At 44.6% G+C, this 19,801-nt stretch overlaps 1 protein-coding gene and 1 pseudogene across 21 annotated transcripts in view; both read right to left on the minus strand.

Annotated features, from left to right (window-relative positions):
* CYTH1 (cytohesin 1) overlaps positions 1–19,801 on the minus strand; it is a 108,226-nt gene that overhangs the window by 8,597 nt on the left and 79,828 nt on the right. For 11 of the 21 annotated variants that reach the window (NM_017456.4, NM_001365037.2, NM_001394677.1 and 8 more), the window contains 6 exons: positions 19,478–19,596; positions 19,027–19,107; positions 17,687–17,799; positions 16,176–16,324; positions 15,625–15,736; positions 9,773–9,849 (listed from right to left, as the gene is read on the minus strand). In NM_017456.4, coding sequence (NP_059430.2) covers positions 9,773–9,849; positions 15,625–15,736; positions 16,176–16,324; positions 17,687–17,799; positions 19,027–19,107; positions 19,478–19,596 — 651 coding nt within the window. Of the gene's footprint in view, positions 1–9,772; positions 9,852–13,362; positions 13,366–15,623; positions 15,737–16,175; positions 16,325–17,686; positions 17,800–19,026; positions 19,108–19,477; positions 19,597–19,801 lie in introns of all 21 variants that reach the window. The other 10 variants (XM_047437076.1, XM_011525475.4, XM_047437079.1 and 7 more) reach the window with 2 other exon arrangements.
* On the minus strand, positions 14,050–14,153 carry RNU6-638P (RNA, U6 small nuclear 638, pseudogene; annotated as a pseudogene).

Genomic DNA, 19,801 nt, shown 5'->3' on the forward strand with positions numbered 1-19,801 from the left:
GCTGCTATCTGGCTGTGCCTAACAGTCTAGGCTGGACGTGACCCTCCTCCAAGACTGGGAAGCCCAGCATTCCTGCCTTCAGCATTCAATATCACCCTACACAAAGCTGTTCTGGTTGCTGGTGCTTTGCACACGACTGCCGTCCTCTGTGTCCTCAGTGTTCTGAGGCCCCCTAAGGAGGCAGCCTTGGCGTGCATTCATTTTCAGTCATCATGCAGGGTATTCAGTAAGCCTTCCAACCTGGAAACACATCCATCGTTTGGGGGAGGTTTAAAAAAATTATTTTGTCAAGGGTTACCCCCTCTTTGTTTTCTCAGCTTCTCTGGAACATGCTAGACCTCCTGGACTAGTTCTTCTTTGGAAAATAAAAGTCTTTCCTTTATTATTTTCCCTCTGCCTTTTTATTCTTTCTGGGAGATTTTCTTAATGCTTTTCTTCCAACTTTTCCATTGAGTTTTCACTTCTACCATGCTTTGAATTTCCAGGAGGATTTTTTTTTATTATTTTTGTTCCGTGGCTTCATACAGGATCCTGTTCTTGTTTCGCAGCTGTGATGTCACCTGAGACGGCTGAGTCTCTTCACAGCTGGTGGTGGACCCTTCTTCTTCCTGGACCCCTCCCTCTCTCTCATCCAAGTTGCTCTTTGGCTGTTCGGCTGCTTTGGTCTCTACCTGCTCTCAGCCGGCAGGAATTCCTCAGGTATCTGGGACTCCTTGGTTGTCCCATTTGAAGAGTGGAAGACTAAGAGCTGACTGGGACCTGAAGCCTGTGCACTGTGACCATCTACAAGGGCCCTCTCACTAGGCTGTCTGCTGGGGAATCTGACTAAATAACCTCACGCATCTCTTCTTGGGCAGAGAAGTTTCCCACTCTGTCTGCAAGCTACAGACCTGGCTACCTGTGGTTCTGAGAGCTGAGTGAGGAGAAGCTGGGGGTGGGAGAAGTCCTCAGCATTCGAGAAGGCTGCATTTACCCCACACTCCTGTCTGGGGAAAATGCCCCCACCTTCAACTGGGCCTAGAGTCCCTCATCCAGAAATGCTTGGTCAGTCTCTCCTGTGAGCGAGCACTCAGACTTCTGCCTGGGTGGTGGGGACAGGCCCTCAGGGGCATGAGGTGAGGGCAACAGCTGGTCTGTTTCCTAAACAGTTCTCAGCCAATTCTGCTTCTGGTTTTTACCCTCCCCATTCTCACTTCTAGGGTTTAATTGGTGCCTGCACCTTTTGAGGATTCCGCTGGGTTAACTGGGTTGAGGCATCACCAGGCGAGCAGGTGGGTGGTCTAAGAGTAATCACACTTTGGACCTCAATAAGTATGTGACATAATGTATACTCTTTGACTGGTGAGGCCTGCGGCATCCAGGTTACATATGCATGATGCACATTCTTGATGGAATATGATTTTAAACCAAGATGATTTACACCCATGCTCTTCAGCCTGGGAGTGGGGACCAGGTTATAAGAAGACCCTCCTGGTCACCGGGAGAACCCACTGGGGATTCTGGTATCCTTCCTGGCCCCCCCTCTTTCCTGCTCCATCCTGCAGAGCGTGGCCCTCCTCGCTCTTCTCAGCACACTCATCCTGCCACTTGAGAATTGGCTTGAGTGAGCCAGCATCGCAGACAGGTGCTCACGCTATCCCTCAGTGCTGGAGTGAAAGAAGAATGAGAACCACTGATGGAAACAACTAAACGTTAAGCTGCTGGGCAGCAATGTAAAATCCCAAATATTAAAAAGGCCCCTGCCTAGAACTTTCACTGGACTCTGGCAGGCCTAATAACAGGCAGGCTGCACCCCTCAGTGATGACTTGTGTGTGCCCAATAACCACTCCCTTCCCCTGTGAAGAGGGAAATAACCGAGGCCAACGTCTTTGGCTTTTTAAATTTGTCTTTAAGAACAATCACTGTTGCTGTAAAAATACGAATTGCTTATTATAAAGAACTAAATATTGTAGAAAAGAATACAGGTGAAAGGTTTAAAAATACTCCAAATCCAATCACTCCTAAATTATCATTGCTGACATTAGGTGAAGATATTTTGTGTGTGTGCAGAGAGATGGAGAAAAACAGGTTTTATGAAAATGGGATATTTCGAGTGGTATTATTTTCATAAAACACATTCTATTTTAATTGTTTAGAATTTAACAGGGGGAAAAAAGGAAGCAGAAACTGAAGAATTGTTGAACTTCAAAGTAAATGTTTCTTTACCACAAGAGTTCCTGAAATAACCTTATTCAAGTTAAGACAAAGAAGTTTATGAAAACATTAAGAGGTCTGACCAGGCATGGTGGCTCACGCCTGTAATCCCAGCACTTTGGGAGGCTGAGGCGGGCAGATCACGAGGTCAGGAGTTTGAGACCAGCCTGACCAACATGGTGAAACCCCATCTCTACTAAAAATACAAAAATTAGCCGCATGTGGTGGCACGTGCCTGTAATCCCAGCTACTCAGGAGGATGAGGCAGGAGAATTTCTTGAATCCGGGAGGCGGAGGTTGCAGTGAGCCACTGCAAGATCGTGCCACTGGACTCCAGCCTGGGTGACAGAGCAAGACTCTGTCTCAAAAAAAAAAAAAAAAAAAAAGGTTTTACTTATTCTTTTAAAAAATACAACATGCTTCCATTTTAACAATATTTCTTGACTCTGCATTTTAAAAAGTACAAAATCTTCTAATTCTTCACATTGTTCCTCCTCCCACCTCCTGATTTTTATTATTTCACTTTTACATTGTCCAGGTTTATAACATTCATGGTACGTCCTGCAGCCACAATTTCTGGTTAATTAGTATTTGTTTTATATTTAAGCATATTTTAGTATTAGCTCTATATTTAAGTTTATTTAGCTATTACTTCTATATGAGTATATTTAGCTATTAGTTCTATACTTAAGTATATTTTGGTATTAGTTCCATACTTAAGTATATTTTCGTATTCTGAACTTAAGCATATTTTAGTATTAGTTGTATATTTAAGTATTAGTTCTGTATTTAAATGAATAGTTCAATGCTCACTACCAGTCTTTTACTTCCCAGGGCCTTTCTTGTGATTCATTCTCTTACGTGCTGGATGTTACTGTCAAGCAATTTTTTTTTCAAGAAGGTTCCAAAGTGCCGCATTTCACATGTTTTCTTCAGGAGAGTGCGGCCAGCTGTGCTTTACTTAAACAATAACGTGGCTGGATAAAGGGTCTTGGGTCATTCTTCTCTTCAAAACTGTGCAGACCTTGATACTTTAATTTCTGGGACTAAAAGCTGCTGGAGATGATCTGCTTTTTCCAACAGAACGACCAGACACTTGGCTCCAAGTTCAATGGTCTAAGGGGCCAGGCTTTGGAGCGACCCTTTCTGTAACAGTTTCCTGAAATACGGTGTCTTCTTTGATTTGCAGATTCAGGGCTTTTTCCTCTTTCTCAGGGAAATCACCTCATGCCACACTGTATCTTTGATTCTGCAGACACCAATTACTCTGGTATTATTGGGATCGTCTTCTGTTCTCTGCATCTGCTAGCTTTTCTCTCATTGTTTTAATACTTGTCTTTTTCAGATATAATCTCTGTGATTGGCTCAAGCGTTTAAGACATTATATTTATAGGACATGATTATATTTTCAGCTAATTTGTTCCACTCCTTAAAGTTTTAACTTACCTTTAAGAATAAATAAGTTATAATTCTATGATTATATATTAATGGTTGCACTGTAAGTATATGCTATTGCTTGGGTTCTCACTTGTTTGAAGACGGAAACCTTGCTTTTCTGGCCTTCCAGCTGGCTCTGGTAAATCTGTGAGTGACCCCTGGTTCTCCTCCTGTGAATCTCTGATCTGCTTGTGTCCCCCTAACCACTTACCCTGACCTGTGGTGGGCGGCCAGGTGTTCTGCATTCTAGCATATTATGCAGTCTCGTAGAGAATGGTGAGTGGTGGGAGAGCTCATCGAAGATACTCCCCGAGTTCTGGTCTTTCCTCTCGGATTGTAAGTATCCAACGTCAGGGTTTGCTCCATCTATCTGGGCAGCAGTCCCCAGCCTTTTTGGTACCAGGAACTGGTTTCATGGAAGACAATTTTTCCACGGACAAAGGCAGGGGAGGGAAGATGGTTCGGGATGATTCGAGCACATTACATTTTTTTAAGTTAATTAATTTATTTATTTTTATTTTGGGGGGCACAGTTTTGCTTTTGTTGCCCAGGCTGGAGTGCAATGGCGAGATCTTGGCTCACCGCAACCTCCGCCTCCTGGGTTCAAGCGATTCTCCTGCCACAGCCTCCCTGGTAGCTGGGATTACAGGCATGTGCCACCACACTTGGCTGATTTTTTATTTTTAGTAGAGACGGGGTTTCTCCATGTTGGTCAGGCTGGTCTCGAACTCCCAACCTCAGGTGATCTGCCCACCTTGGCCTCCCAAAGTGCTGGGATTACAGGAGTGAGCCACCGCGCCCAGCCTACATTACATTTATTGTACACTTTATTTCTATTGTTATTATACTGTAATATATAATGAAATAATTATACAACTCACCATGATGTAGAATCAATGGGAGCCCTGAGCTTGTTTTCCTGCAACTAGATAGTCCCATCTGGGGCTGATGGGAGACAGTGACACCCAACATGTGTTGCTTGTGTCCAGTCTACTCTGTAATCACTCTTTGGCTGCTGTCACTGCAGAAAACACTGCTTCACAAAGACAGGATGTTGGGCGTGGAAGCAGGCTTTCAGTGCTTTTGGGGCAATCTCAGGATATTCTGCCTCAACTTTAATCCAGAACATATGGAGATTTGAAGTTGTCTCAAACGTACTTTTAAGGCCACTGTCATTTGCGATCTCAAGCAGTTGATCTTCTTCTAGCATTGGCCAAGGTGATTCACCTGGCTTATTCTCAAATGGGTCACAGATCCATTCCTTTCCAGTTCAGGTTCTTTTGTGGTTGGGAAGTATCGCTCAAGCTCTTCTGAAAGCTGAGGCGCTGGGGCAAAGAAGGCCCTGGCTCCGTCTCTCACAATCTCTCTAATGTTTGAAACATGTCAGAAATCCCAGTGTTCACTCATCACCCCTGTAATTCCAGTTTGGCTTTGAAAGCAGCCACTTGATCTGCCGACTGGGACACACTTGTCACTCTCCCCTGAAGTGACAGATTGAGTTTGTGAGTAGGTTTAATCTGTCACACAAGTACACAAGTTTCCTGACCTATATTCTGTGTCACTGAAATGTGCTGCTAGTGGTGACTTTTTCTAGAAGAAATCTCTGAAGTGGCTGTTGCAACTCAGAAACTCTGGCCAGTGATGTGCCTTTAGAGAGCGTCTCACTCTGTGTATCACAGAAGCCGTGTGTGCTCTGCGTCCATCTCCTCCGAGGGCTGCATGAACAGACCTGAGTTAGGCCATGTACTTTAATGTGGTTGGTAATTTCAATCGCATCCTGCATAAATGTTGTTAAGTTCAGGTGACACTTTTTGGCTAGCCAGCACTTCTCTATGGATGACATACTGCATAGACTCACATTTAGAAGTGACCTCTTTGACCTGAGTAGTGAAACCAGAAAGCTGTCCAGTCACGGCAGCCGCTCCATCCATGCATATAACACCACAAAACAAAACAGTTCAGTTTCCCTGATATGTAATAATTCAAAGACTTGAATAGCAGCCGTGGTGTTGGTTGGCAACTAAAGCACACATAACATATCCTCATGAACATCCCCCTGAAAAATATGTCACAGAAGAACAAGCATTGTTGTCTTGTTGTCAACATCGGTAGACTCGTCAACCTGGATTGAGTACCAGAGTGACTCGTTAATCCTCTCTAACAATTGTGCCTCAATATCTGCTGCTGTTTCATCAATCTGCCTAGTTACGGTGCTGGCCGAAAGAGCAACATGTGCCACCTTTTGAACCACAGCCTCTCCTAAAAGCGCATGACAAATGTCCTTAGCAGCAGGCAGGATCAACTCTTCACCAACAGCCAGTCCTGGCTTTGGCAATGCGGTTAGACACGAAGAATGATGCTTTCAGCGCAGACATATTTGATGAAGTGGTGGCCTTCAATAATTGCTTCTGTTCTTGATGTTTACATTTTTTTCTTTTGAAAACTCCAAAGGCTTGTCTTTTGATGCAGGGTGCTTGGTCTCCATGCGGTGAGGCAGTTTTGAAGCTTTCATGGCTTTGTTGGGTAGTTGGTCACCACATATTCTACAAAGTGGGCTTGGCGAATGTGATCACCTGTTGAAATGAACCTAGAATTTGAGTAGAACTCTTGGCGTTTTCTTTACAATGCAGCTTTATTTTTGTTGGCAGTCTTGGCGTGTTCTGCTGTCTCATCAATGGGTCTCTCCCCCTTTTCAAAGAAGCTCTCCAGTGACGTTTGGTTTTTACTCATTTTGGCTAGGGTTGGTGGATGGGCTTACCAAAACCATGGCTGAGACAAGTACACAGTGTGGGAAAGAGATGTGGATGGCAGTGGTAAATAAAATAACGGGCAGGCCATGCACGGACTGAAATAAGTGTTGGATTCTGACTTAAAGCCTGCCACCAGATACAGCTGTACAATTGAAGTACATCAGCTCACTTGCCACTATAAAGCCTGCCACCAGAGGCAGGCTAATTGTCACTTGCCACTCACTGATAGAGTTCTGATGAGTCTGCAAGCAACTGATGTATTATTATGGTCTCTGTGGAGTCAAACCTCTCTGCTAACATTCATCTGTACTTGCAGCTGCTCCCCAGCACTAGCATCACTGCCTCAGCTCCACCTCAGATCATCAGGCATTAGATTCTCAGGAGGAGTGCACAACCTAGATCTCTGGCCCATACAATTTACAATAGGGTTCGTGCTCCTATGAGAATCTAACGCCGCCACTGATCTGACAGGATGTGGAGCTCAGGAGGTGATGTGAGTGATGGGGAGCAGCTGGCTGTAAATACAGATGAAGCTTCCACCGCTCGCCTGCCACTCACCTCCCGCTGTGTGGCCTGGCTCGTAACAGGCCACAGACTGGTACCGTCCTATGGCCTGAGGTTGAGGACCCCTGTATTTGGGGATGGATATCATGCTCATGGGAGACCCTCCATGGACAGTCTTCCCCAGTGAATATACAGTCTTGAGCCTTTACTTATGTCTATAACGGCTGCTTTTTTCACTTTTCCCATTTCACCAATGTCCACCCAGCAGGGGATTTTACTACTCCTTGATCAGGGAGGAAAAAATAACAAGTCCTGTTCAGTTTGCCTCCTCCCAGACCTGAGAAACCAGCGAGACTGCCGGGTCTCCTCAAATCCTGGGCCGTGAGGTAGAAACCCTGCACACTGCTCCTGACTGCTGCCCCTGCCACCGCTGCTTCCGCTGCTGCCCAGGGCTGCAGTGCACTGAATTCGTTCTGCCCCTTCCCCTGCTTGGTTGCTATTTTTCCCTACTTATTTTTTTACTAGTCTTTTGCTCTGTTAGGTAATTCTGTGTGGAAGTTTCAATCTACCATCTTAATTCTGACAGCATCCTCTCTGTGTCTTAAGAAATGTATTCAGCACTTTGGAAGGCTGAGATGGGCGGATCACAAGATCAGGAGATCGAGACCATCCTGACTAACACAGTGAAACCCCGTCTCTACTAAAAATACAAAAAATTAGCTGGGCGTGGCAGCAGCGCCTGTAGTCCCAGCTACTCCGGAGGCCGAGGCAGGAGAATGGCGTGAGCCCGGGAGGCGGAGCTTGCAGTGAGCCGAGATCGTGCCACTGCACTCCAGCCTGGGCAACAGAGCGAGACTCCATCTCAAAAAAAAAAAAAAAAAAAAAAAAAAAAAAAAAAAAAAGAAATGTATTTACTGCTGGGTGCAGATCACCTGAGGTCAGGAGTTCAAGACCAGCCTGGCCAACATGGTGAAACCCCATCCCATCTCTACTTAAAAAACAGAAAACAAAACAAAAAAAAACGGATGTGGTGGCGCACGCCTCTAGTCCCAGCTACTCAGGAGGCTGAGATGGGAGAATCACTTGAACCCAGGAGGCAGAGGTTGCAGTGAGCTAAGATCACACCACCACTACACTCCAGCCTGGGAGACAGAGCGAGACTCCGTCTCAAAAAAAAAAAAGTATTTTTCTCTGTATTTCCATTGCTTGATAAAATGCTACACTTTGCTGAATAAATATTGCTGAATTAAGGATTAAGGTGACACCACTACGGTGGGCATCACGAAAAACCACAAGATTCTAGAATCTCGTAGCATTGCTATAGGATTGTCCAGGACTTAGAAGTACACCACTTAGATGCTTATGTATCATTTTGACCCAGAAAATAGCGAGACAAATTCAGACACGATGTTAAAGACATCGTTAGTGTAGGTGTCTTCAGAAAAAAGGCAAAATATAGGGCAGAAGGGTGAACAAAACAGAAAAAATTGTACCAAGATGTTCACAGTGGTACTTTGGGGGTGAAGCAGAAAGCAGCTTTCTTTTTATTATTTTGCAGATATTTGAAGTGTATTACTCTCATATGAAAAGACTATAACAACAGAAAAGCAAAGCCAGTGCAGAACTTGCAGGGCATGAGCTGAGCCCCTACAACATATGAAATCCCGGCCAGAATTCCCTTCACAGTGATTTACTATCCTCAGTCACCAAACCATCAGAAGCAGCGGCTCTTGCCTGCAGCCTGATGGGCTACGAAGTGCATTCCCTGGGTGAGAAGCTGCATGTGCATGATGTCCATGGGGATGGAGAACAACGCTAAGTGTTAGACACGACAGAAACCCATCTTCACACCTCACAGCAGAAAATGCCAAGGCGTGTACCTGTTTCTTGGTCCTAAATAAGTGACTGGTGAATATGGTCAGGATTTCAATGTTTTACTTAAGCCCCATTTTGCTCTAAACTGATTTTAAAAGATACTTCTGAGTCTTAATTTTCTCAGTGGGATCAATGACTTTTGCTCCATGAAGATACACTTGGAGAACAAAAGCAAAGCATTCTCAACTCAACGGCCTTGATTTACTTTAAGACAAAAGTTCGATGCCATGGGAGTATGCCCGCTTTGCCCTTACAATGACCAAGAAAGGTGGCAGAAATGAAAAAGCACCCCATCACCAGTCCGGTGAGCCACGGTCTCCACACCAAGTGCTAACTTGCCAGGGTTCTGGGTACCTTGCTTAGAGGGAGCTCTGAAAAGAGCTAATTTATGATTTTTACTTTCTTTGGCTATTATTACAAAAGAGATATACGTATATAAAACACAAATTTGCAGCTATAAGTCTCTCCCACTGAATAAAAACCAACAAAACTTCTTAAAACTCCAGATAATCTCAAATTGACTTTTCCCATTTCACTTCACTTCCTTTTCCCCCACTATATATTTTACCCCTTGGGCTGTTTCTTCTGAAATCACATTTCTGCTAACCCAGAATAGGTGAATTTTCTAAATCACGATTATTTCCTTTTTCTTTTCATCTCCCTTTCAATTAGGGCCACATACTCTTTCTCGGCAACCAATGCAAATTCATTCTTTCTAGCCCAGTTCCAAAACCCATTTCTAGTGCTCCCCCTCCTCCAGGCCAGGTATCTCCTGTCCCACCAGAACCGGGTGCCTGCTCTGAGCCCGTGCCCTTTAAGGCACGCACCTCTTCTCAGGGGTTCCCCATTCTGAGATTTACTTCAGTTCTTGCACTTTGCTTAAACTCTCCCCCATCCCCCACAGATACTGAAGGGCAAATCCAACGGTCTCCTCAACCATGTCTGATTAGAGACACTTGGAACCGGAGGCCTTGCCCATCCCTAGTCTGGAGGCCGACTAGCAGGTGCTCACCGTGGTATACTCAAAGTAGTAAAGGCAGTTGTCAGTCAGAATGAACCAGCGTCTCTTCCAAGTCTTTACCCTGCCACCTGCAGAGCAAAAAGAGATGCACGTTCGACAAGAGACAACCAGACAAGTGCAGGCTCCACGACACACACGACACCCTCTCTTCTCAGAGAGGGTTGGGGGAGAGGCATCAGGAGAACGTGGAGCCCACAACATTGACATCAGTAACAAGACACAGAGCTGAAACAGAAGCGTCTTTCACAAAGTGAAAGCCTGTGGGTACAAGCAGAGCAAGCGCATCTAGGTGACACCCGGAGATGGAATCGGGACGGCAGGATGAGCATGGGTTTGTGGCGAGAAAACCCGGGGCAATAATGACATACAATGCAAATTTGCCAGAGTCAGCAAAAAGCCTATGTGGTAGAAATTGCCAAAGAACAGAAAAAGAGGGAAGGGTCAGCACCTAGTGCAGGCTACTCTGCTACTGACAAGCAGCCCGGCACATAAGGAGTGTTTCACTGGAAGTGAAGGAAGGAGGAAGCAGGAGGGGAGATGCTGGGAGCCTTCAAATCCACACTTTCCCTGGAACACGAAGTAAATCCCCATGGTTCTACTCTCTTCTTCACCTTCATGATTACAGTGAGCTTCTACACTGGCTCTTAACCTTATGTGCTAGTGTCCTGAAAACAAAATCTCCCGGGTCCTGGGTGAGAATCAAAGCAGAATTCCTCTATCAAGGAAGAATCAACTCGTACTGAGAGGTGGCCTCAGGAGCCTTTTCCGTTCTGGGCTTCTCACCTGGAGCTTATAACAGAAACAGCTGGCAAATACAGCCATGGCAAAACAAGCTCTGGCGGTGGTGGCTGGGAGGCTGGCAAGGGCCTCCCTTGGTTCTTTTTAGTATTTCTCAGCACAAAACACTGGGGTCATGGCTAGGCACAGGGGCTCACGTCTATAATCCCAGCACTCTGGGAGGTCAAGGTGGGTGGGTCGCTTGAGGTCAGGAGTTCAAGACCAGCCGGCCAACATGGTGAATCCCCATCTCTACTAAAAGTATAAAAATTAGCCAGGGGTGGTGGCACATGCCTATAGTTCCAGCTACTCAGGAGGCTGAAGCATGAGAGTCACTTGAACTGGGAGGTGGAGGTTGCAGTGAGCCAAGATTGCACCACTGCACTCCCGCCTGGGTGACACAGGGAGACTCCCTCTCAAAAAAAAAGAAAAAAAAAAGAAAAAAAAAAAAGTTGGGGTTGGGGCCGTGAAGTTATGCTGAGACAGACATGAAGGAAGGAAAAATTTCCCCAAGCCTATCTGAATGAAGCTACACCTGCTGTCAAATCGGGACCACAGGCTTTCTCTTCCTCCACCTCTCTCCCATCAAGGGAACATTTTCTGAACATGAACCACTCAAAACTTATCCCTAAGGCCTTGACCTGTGAAGCTATGCATGGCATTCTAGAAACACTTCTTGTGCCTGCTCTTTTGCTAAGACTTAACCTACAGACAATACCGCTTCTCCAATCTTCCTAAATAGCAAGGATCATGGGGCATAAATCTCATACCTCCGATCATGCTTTCTCTCTTGCCCTCATCACAAATAGCTGAGCAAAGAGGAGAATGGTTTTACAGGGATTATTCTAACTGCCAGGACCTGCCTGCATGCTCACACCAGAGAAACCTAAGGGGAGTATGCAAATAATGTTATGAAAAGAAAATGTCCAGCGTAGGTCCTGGCAGACAAGTAAAAGGACCACTGGACTTTCAGGCCAGTTTTTAGCACCCTGCTTGGATGCTGAACCCTAGGCGGGCTTACGTGACTGATCATTAATTGCCAAGATTCCAAATGACACAGATCTAGGTTATGCGAGGGAATTTGCTGTAAGCAAGCACGTGCCCTCCACCTGCCCATCCTGTGCTATATCAAGCAAATTGAGACTCTCCCTCCAGTAACTTCTAAGTTTCATGTGAGCCCTTGCCACTGGTCCCTAAAGGTTAGATGGCATGAATTAAGAGAAAACCATAAATGGATACTATGACATGCATGTGGAAAACAGGAAAGCCCGGGCAGAATTAAATAAGGAGGATAAAGAAGGCAAGGACTATATTCAGGATTGAAGCCAATTTGTTCTTAAAAAGGAACCCCCTCCACCAATTCAGAGTCTGAGAACTTTGGTCTTCCAGCCTGGCGGGCCATTGGTTGCCCACGGAGGCTCGGCACAAAGGGAACATCAACCCATGCTGACCTCCCATGCGCTCCATCACAGGACACTACCCGGGGAACCCTTCGGACATAGGAGATCATGGAAAAAGCGAGTCAGATGCTAAAAGAAACAAGATGGAAAGAAATCAAGGAGAAAAAGCAAAGCCAGAAGAAATTCTCTGCCTGATTACAAAAGCTTGGTTATTATGCCTGGACAATTTGTTGCATTACAGAGACCTCTACCATAAAGCATCACTGTGGGCCCACGGGGAACATTTCCACGTGGAAAGAAAAGCAGACATGAAACAAGCAGACAGATCAATGTGCGCCTAGGACAGTCCCTGTGGAACTCACAGGACCACCTCCCACTGCACGGCTCCTCAGGCCTCCTGTGACCTCCCCGAGACATCAAGGCCGGATGCCATCTTCCCCTACAGTTGAGAACAACCTGACAAGTCCCTGAAGCATCTCAGTAACTGTGCGTGTTTGGGGTTGTTCTTTTTAAGTGTAGCTACTGCTCAGGGAATGCTTAGGCACAAACCTGAGGGGTCTTGGGCTAAGAAAATATGTTTCCCCAAAAAAACCAGCAAATGGAGAGGAGACACCAAAACCATAACCAGGAGACCGATTCGGGGCTTTAACGAGGACTCGCTGAAAAAGCGAGGGAGCAAAACAAAACATAACAACAGAGCCGAGGCTGTTAATACCCTTCTCTGATCCCCAGGAAACTAAACACGAGGACTTCAGGGAGGGTTTTTTGGTTTGGACTTGTTTTTTTCACCTTCACTCGGTATCATTTTGAGTTTAGGAAATACCATTTCCCCTTTTCGTGCAAAGGCAAATGTCTTAAGTATCATCTAATTTAGTTCTTTCCCTAGTTTGCTTTTCCATCATGGTAAATCAGAAGCTTTCCATAGCTTTGGGAAGTCAAGACTTTGTTCTCTCTGGAGTAAGTCTCAGCTTGAAAAAAGAAGAAAAAAGAAAGACTTCCTTCTCTTCTTTCTCCTCTTCCCCACGTCAGAGATTAACTTTCAATCAGGCTGATTAATGGACGTCAAATTGAATATCAAACATAGCGCATGTCTTAGCCAATAATTCCAAGTGAAAATGTCATGGAAACTTCCTCTGCTTTTACAAACCCACTCTTAGTATGTTTTCTTGCATTACTGCATTCAGTAATGAATATAACATATACTCCTCCAAAAAAGAAAAACGAAAATTGCTCCAAACCCCTGATCCTGACCAGTTCCCTAGGGACTGTACAATAAGTTAGAAGCAGCATTAACACTACCACCGGCAATTAAAAAACAAAATAACCAAAAATAACGAAATCAGAAAATGCTGCAGTAATGACAGTGGCCTAGCAGAGCGAGCGAGCAGGCTGAGGGTTACATACCTCCTGGAGTTTGGGGCAAGGAAAAGGAGAGCCAAAATCATGGAAACATACAAATGAGGGAGAAAAGAAAATTAAAACAAAGAAATTAAACCCGATTCCTTAATCTTAAAGTGCAATGTATCAGTCACATTCATGCCTGCCTGGGGAGAGAGCTGAACTAAAAACACTCAACGGGCAAATGATCCCACTACTGTCTGGCACGTGAACGAGGGGCTCTTACATGCCACGTTCCACCTCATCAAGGCAAGATTTGAGGCACTACTGGAAACCTGGCCCCAAAGATGCCACAAATCGGCTTTTACAAAGCCAATGTTTACTAGTATATCCAGAATCAGAGCAAAGAAAGCTAAGGTTATTTCAGGGAAAATTAAATGTCTTTCTTGAGATGGCTGTCACTTTTTAAAGTGTGTGTAAGAATGCACACACATATACCCATGAGTACACATGTACTGATGTGTATACACAAGAATACACATTCTTATGGCTATATGCATACACAGACATATACACACAGCTACAGACGGCTGGAAGCCCTGCCTTCTGCAGCACATAAACACAAAGAGTGATACTAAGTGTGCTACAATGAAAACACAATATTCAGAGTCTAGAAGGATTTGATGGAGGTTTAGAAAAAGTAATGCAATGAGCTAAAACTGAGTCCCACACTTGGTTAAATTTTCTCTTTTTTAAAATACGAGATGCCTCATGAATTTGCATGTCATCCTGGTCTAAGAACCAAGATAATCTTTGTACTGTTCTAATTTTAGTATCTGGGCTGTCAAAGCTAACACTTAGTATTAGCATTTAAACAAATCTCGCTGTAGGGGGAAGTAAATCCAAACTTGAACACACTTTAAACGTTTCCAGTAGGTTTCCTTTCAACTCCATCCACTTGGCAATAGGAATGTGGAAGGGAAGGCTGCCTATGGGGTTAGTAATTTTAGAGCCTTAACTTCAAAGATTCTGGGGGCTTAAAGATATATAAAATGATGGCCAATTCAAGAGATATTTAAAACTGATCGGTGAAGTGGTGCTGTAAGGGGAATTTATGAATTAAGTCATTATGTATAAGCACAAGGACTTGGGATATGACTTTAAAAGGAAATATAAAGTCTACTGCTATCTGACCTAGTCAGAAATAAAGGATTCCATTTTAGCCTTCCCAGATGTGTCAGTAATGACCAAGAGAGTACTGACTTCTAATCACTGGGGCAAGCAGTTGGGCTGGTATAGGACGGAACAGCCCCTGCTAATGTGAGAACCCAACTCATCAAAGGCTAAAGCAGAAGGCAACAGAGGAAAGTACCCTGCTAGTGTCCAAAAAAAAAAAAAAAAAAAGGACATCATTATGTCCAGAGAGTCTAGAGCTCTATGTTCTGAAACCATTAATAAAGTAAACACATGTGGACATGAATGTGTATGAAAACCCTACTAAAGTCTTTCCTATTGATTACCCTGTCACCTTCACGGCAAGGCATGACCACAAATCTCAGCAATACAAGCTCATCACTTCTGGCAAAGGGAAGAGAAATGCATTTTCAGCTTTTCTAAATGAACAAAATAATTAATGTGGCTGATTCAGATTGAAAAGGAGGGGAAAAAAAAAAGAAAAAAAAAAAACCACTGCCCAAGAATGAGTAAGAGTGCTGTGGATTGAGCTGCAGCCAAGGGCTCTAGGCTTGCCATGCACACTGCCTGTGGGGGAGCCAGATGCAGAAGGAAGTGACGATGCACTGGGGTGGGGGCAGGAGCGCCAGGTACAAATCTGTGGGATGGGAAGTAGAAAGATGGACAAGGTCGGCCACCCTCCCAGTGGTTATGGGGACAGGGAAGGCAAACGGACCAGGTGCTCAGGGAACTGCCTTGAAACAAAACCTGGTCAACCAATTCAAGGGTAAAAATGTGGAGCACAGACACATGTGGGCAATATTTATGGTGGAGTAAGTCTGTCCCCAGTAGTCTCTGTGTCCCATGGGGGCAATGACTATGAAGTCACTTCCCTTTTGGAAGCCGACCTTTGTTAGAACAGAACTCATACCAAAGTCTCTCTGGAGTCCTCTATAAGCCACCCCCTTTCCTACATGGTGCGTGTGTGTCCATGAATGTGTGTGAACATGCATGCGCGTGCACACACACGCACGCGCACACATGCACACGCACAAACACGCACACGCGCACACACGCACGCACGCACACACGCACACACACCGCCTTTCTTCCTAAGTCTCAGCTTTAGGAGCCCTGACTCAGAGGTGCGCTTACCGAGTTTCAATAGCCAGCCTTCTCGGTCTGGATTGAAGAAAGTGTGAGTGAGGTCATTCCCGTCGTCTTCTGGGATTTTAAAGGGTTCATTTTTTATGCTCTCATAGAGATTCTGGGATAAAAGATGACAATTTATGTCTCTGATTCTAGAAATATTTTTTCCTCCTCCCCTTTCTCTTCATTCATTCCACAAGCATTCATGTGCCTATAGTAAGCCAAGCCTGCTAGATGCTGAGACTAGAAGATTATGACCATTTCTGCTTTCAGGCAGCTCACAGTGACAAAATAAATAAGCCTTCCCAATTAGGAAAATAAAGAAGCAGCCTGACTTCTATTCAAGCTTTTAGTTTCATGTTTACAAACCACTGTCCCCTCCCTGATTCCCTAGCTGGGCCTTACTACCACTTTCTTAATGAAATTCACATGGTTAAACAAATTAAAAGAGGAGACCCTTGATAAATTGTATGTTTTTTCTTCCTTCCTACAAAAGACGATCCTGTTCCCAGTGAACTCTTTCTTGACTTGAATGAAGACCATTCTTCCTTGCTTACCCGGAGGAGCTCCTCCGGCAGGTCTCCCCCATCATTGATGCCTCGGTTCATGGCAATGAACCTCTCCACAGTGGGCTTATCTTTGACATTGGGGTTGTGCAGACTGGTGTTCAACATGATGATGGCAAAGGAGAGGACGTAACAAGTATCTAAAGATGAGAGAAAAGCAAAGGGGAGCCGTTGCATGCTCAGATGTTCAGAAACATCCCACCCGCAAGAGCAAGAGTGGTATCAGATGAAATCAGGAATAAAAAACCATGTTCTCGGCCAGATGCAGTGGCTTACACCTGTAATCCCTGCACTTTGGGAGGCCAAGGCAGGCAGATCATGAGGTCAGGAGTTCAAGCCTAGCCTGACCCACATGGTGAAAACCCGTCTCTACTAAAATACAAAAATTAGCCAGGCGTGGCTGCACGCGCCTGTAATCCCAGCAACTTGGGAGGCCGAGGCAGGAGAATTGCTTGAACCTGGGAGGCAGAGCTTGCAGTGAGCCGAGATAGCGCCACTGCACTCCAGCCTGGGCGACAGAGTGAGACTCCATCTCAGAAAAAAAAAAAAAAACATGTTCTCAAAAGAATGAGATGAATCCACATGTACGGGTACACTCCAGGGCACACTGCTGTCTGAAAGGAGCAAGGCACGAAAAAGTATATAAAGTATTCAAGACTTAAAGCTGTTTATTTTTTCAGATTGGAAAGGAGAATACACACACTGTAGAAACTCTGAAAAACACAATGTGTTTAAAACAAAATGACCTGTAATGACCCATAATCCCACTATCTAGCAATAATTTATTTTGCTTTATTTCCTCTACGTAAATATGACTATGTATAACTCACCACATATTTATCTCACAGATATATACTGTAACAAAACTGGAAACAAACAAATACATACACATGCTTTTTTGCTAATCTTAATATCATTCTCCTATGTCAATAAAAATTCTTTGTAACAATATGGGTTTCTTTAGTTTTTGTTTTGAGACAGGGTCTCACTCTGTCACCCAGGCTTGGAGTGCTGTGGTGCAATCATAGCTCACTGCGTGTAGTCGTAAACTCTTGGGCTCAAGAGATCCTCCTGCCTCAGCCTCACAAATAGCCGGGACTACAGGCATAAGCCACCACACCTGGCTAATTTTTAAAAATTTTTTTGGAGAAAGGGTCTCATAATGTTGCCCAGGCTGGTCTCAAACTCCTAGCCTCAAGCAATCCTCTCACCTCGGCCTCCCACCCAAGGTGCTGACATTACCAGTGTGAGCCACTGCATGCAGCTAAAACATGGTTTTTAATAGCTGTGTATTTCGTAGTTCAGAGGTACCACAATTTAAATTCATAGTGCCTTAATGTCAGACTTTCAGGTTATTTCCAACATTTTACTATTATAACTATCATTGAGTAAACGTTCCTAGGCATGAATCTCAGCCCTTTTGTTTTAGAAATTATCTGGTGCCAAGAAAATAATCCAGTGTAAAACGCCCATCATAAACTAGGATGAATGATCGTATTTACCCGTGGACTGGAACACGCCATTATTGCACTGACAATATCGCTGGGCAAACGCCTCCATCATCCGGTCGATCTTCTGGGCCTCTCCGGGTAGCCGGAAGCTCCACAGGAACTGCCTGAGTGGGTAAAGACAGAGTGTTCCAGAACTTGGGGAGGCAATTTATTTCTCTATGAATTGTTAAACTGCCAATGATTTTTTTTTTCTTTTTTTTTTTGAGATGGAGTCTCACTCTGTCACCCAGGCTGGAGTGCAGTGGCGTGATCTTGGCTCACTGCAACCTCTGCCTGCCGGGTTCAGGCAATCTTCTGCCTCAGCCTCCCGAGTAGCCGGGACTACAGGCACACGCCACCATGCCCGGCTAATTTTTTGTATTTTTAGTAGAGACGGGGTTTCACCATGCTGGCCAGGCTGGTCTCAAACTCCTGGCCTCAAGTGATCCACCCGCCTCAGCCTCCCAAAGTGCTGGGAGTACAGGTGTGAGCCACGGTGCCTGACCACTGCCAATGATTTTTTAACATCAAAGTGCAAAGGGAACCCTGCTGGGCTGCAGCCTTCTGTTACTGTAACTCTGAACAGATGCAAAGTTGCCATCCACACCACTGTTACCTTAATCAAAAGTAAAATTTTTCTTAGGAAAAAGTGAAAAATTAGGAGGGAAACAATCCCTACTGAGGAGTGGTTTCCCTCCTCAGAATAATATACAAGACTGAAACATAGATAATGCTCATTTTAAACAAACGCTATTTCCGGAAACAATATGGGTGGCAGAAAAAGAGAAGATTGTCTTGTCAAAGCATTAACAATCGATCCCTTTAAGTCAAAGAAAGAAAGACCCACAGCTGACAGGTTTAATTGTGGATTGTTTCCATCCAGCTAAATGATAGCACAAAAGATGAAGTCATTATTTACACCTACAGCAGTGAAAATACAGAATGACAGTTTCTTAAAAGGCATGAGGTAACAGATTTAATAAAAAATTAAGGTTTACTTTTTTCTTTCCAAAATGAAATGTATAACTACTTATTCCAGGGCAAGAAATTAAAGGATTTTCTAAACTGAAAAATTTCAAAATTTAAGTATTCATCAATTTCTAAAACCTCAAATATAAGACTCAAGGAAGAGTGTTACAGAATCGGCCTCCAGAACGTAACAGAATTGAATTCCCCTTGACCATCCAGTCATTCCCAGTCAGAGACCAATAGATTTCTTCCCTCCAAAATACTTCAAAATATTCAAATCATACCCAAAGATATAATTTCAATAAAATGCCCCCCAGGACAGACTCATGATCAAAGGCTAGCCTCCCACTCCTTCCAAAGGGGCTCACCTCAAGAATACTCACCGTAGTGCCTGGACGAGATTAAGATCAGTGAACTCATGCAGCTCCACAAATGCATGAAGAACCTGGATATTAAACTCATCTCTATCGAGAAAAGACAAAAAATGGGAGAGAAAGCAGGAGTCAGGCACCAACACTGAGAATCTCCAGCCAGGCCATGTCTCCTACACTGCGTCCTGTGGTCCTGTGGCTCCTGCCCAGACAGCCACTTGTGCACACTGTCCGCAAGAAGACTGGCTAGCTCTGCTGACTGGCTGAACAAGCAAGATGTCTCCATGACCCCCAGAAAAGACCCATCACTATTCCCCAGAAAAGCCTCCCCTCAACTCCAGTGGGGCTACAGATGCTTTAAGGCAAAAACCCCTCCAAGAACTTCAGAGTATTTGGGAGTTTGTTTCTTTGTGTCGTTCCTGAACAGCCTTCCCTAGCATGCGCATAATCCCCAAGGCCTTACCTCTCCCCTAGGTAGTCGCCGATGGCTGTCTTGTTGAGCCCTTCGCCTTTATATAAGAACTGGGCAATGTCTTCACAAGTGTTCTTCAGGAGGTCGTTCTCTATTAAGAACTGGATCCCCTAGAAAAAGACAACAAAGACGCCAATGATGCTTTGCTGGGAAACAGTTGAAAAGAAGGGGAAAGGGCACAGGAAGAAATGGGTGTGGGTGCACTGGAATATTTAATAAATACTTGCTAAGTGACCTATAAAGCCGGGGAGTCACAGTTTAGGAACAAGGGCTTAGTGCATAACATTTGCTCTACAAAACGGCAACATGAACTGT

This window comes from Homo sapiens, chromosome 17, assembly GCF_000001405.40.
Source record: "Homo sapiens chromosome 17, GRCh38.p14 Primary Assembly".
Taxonomy (NCBI): Eukaryota; Metazoa; Chordata; class Mammalia; order Primates; family Hominidae; genus Homo; species Homo sapiens.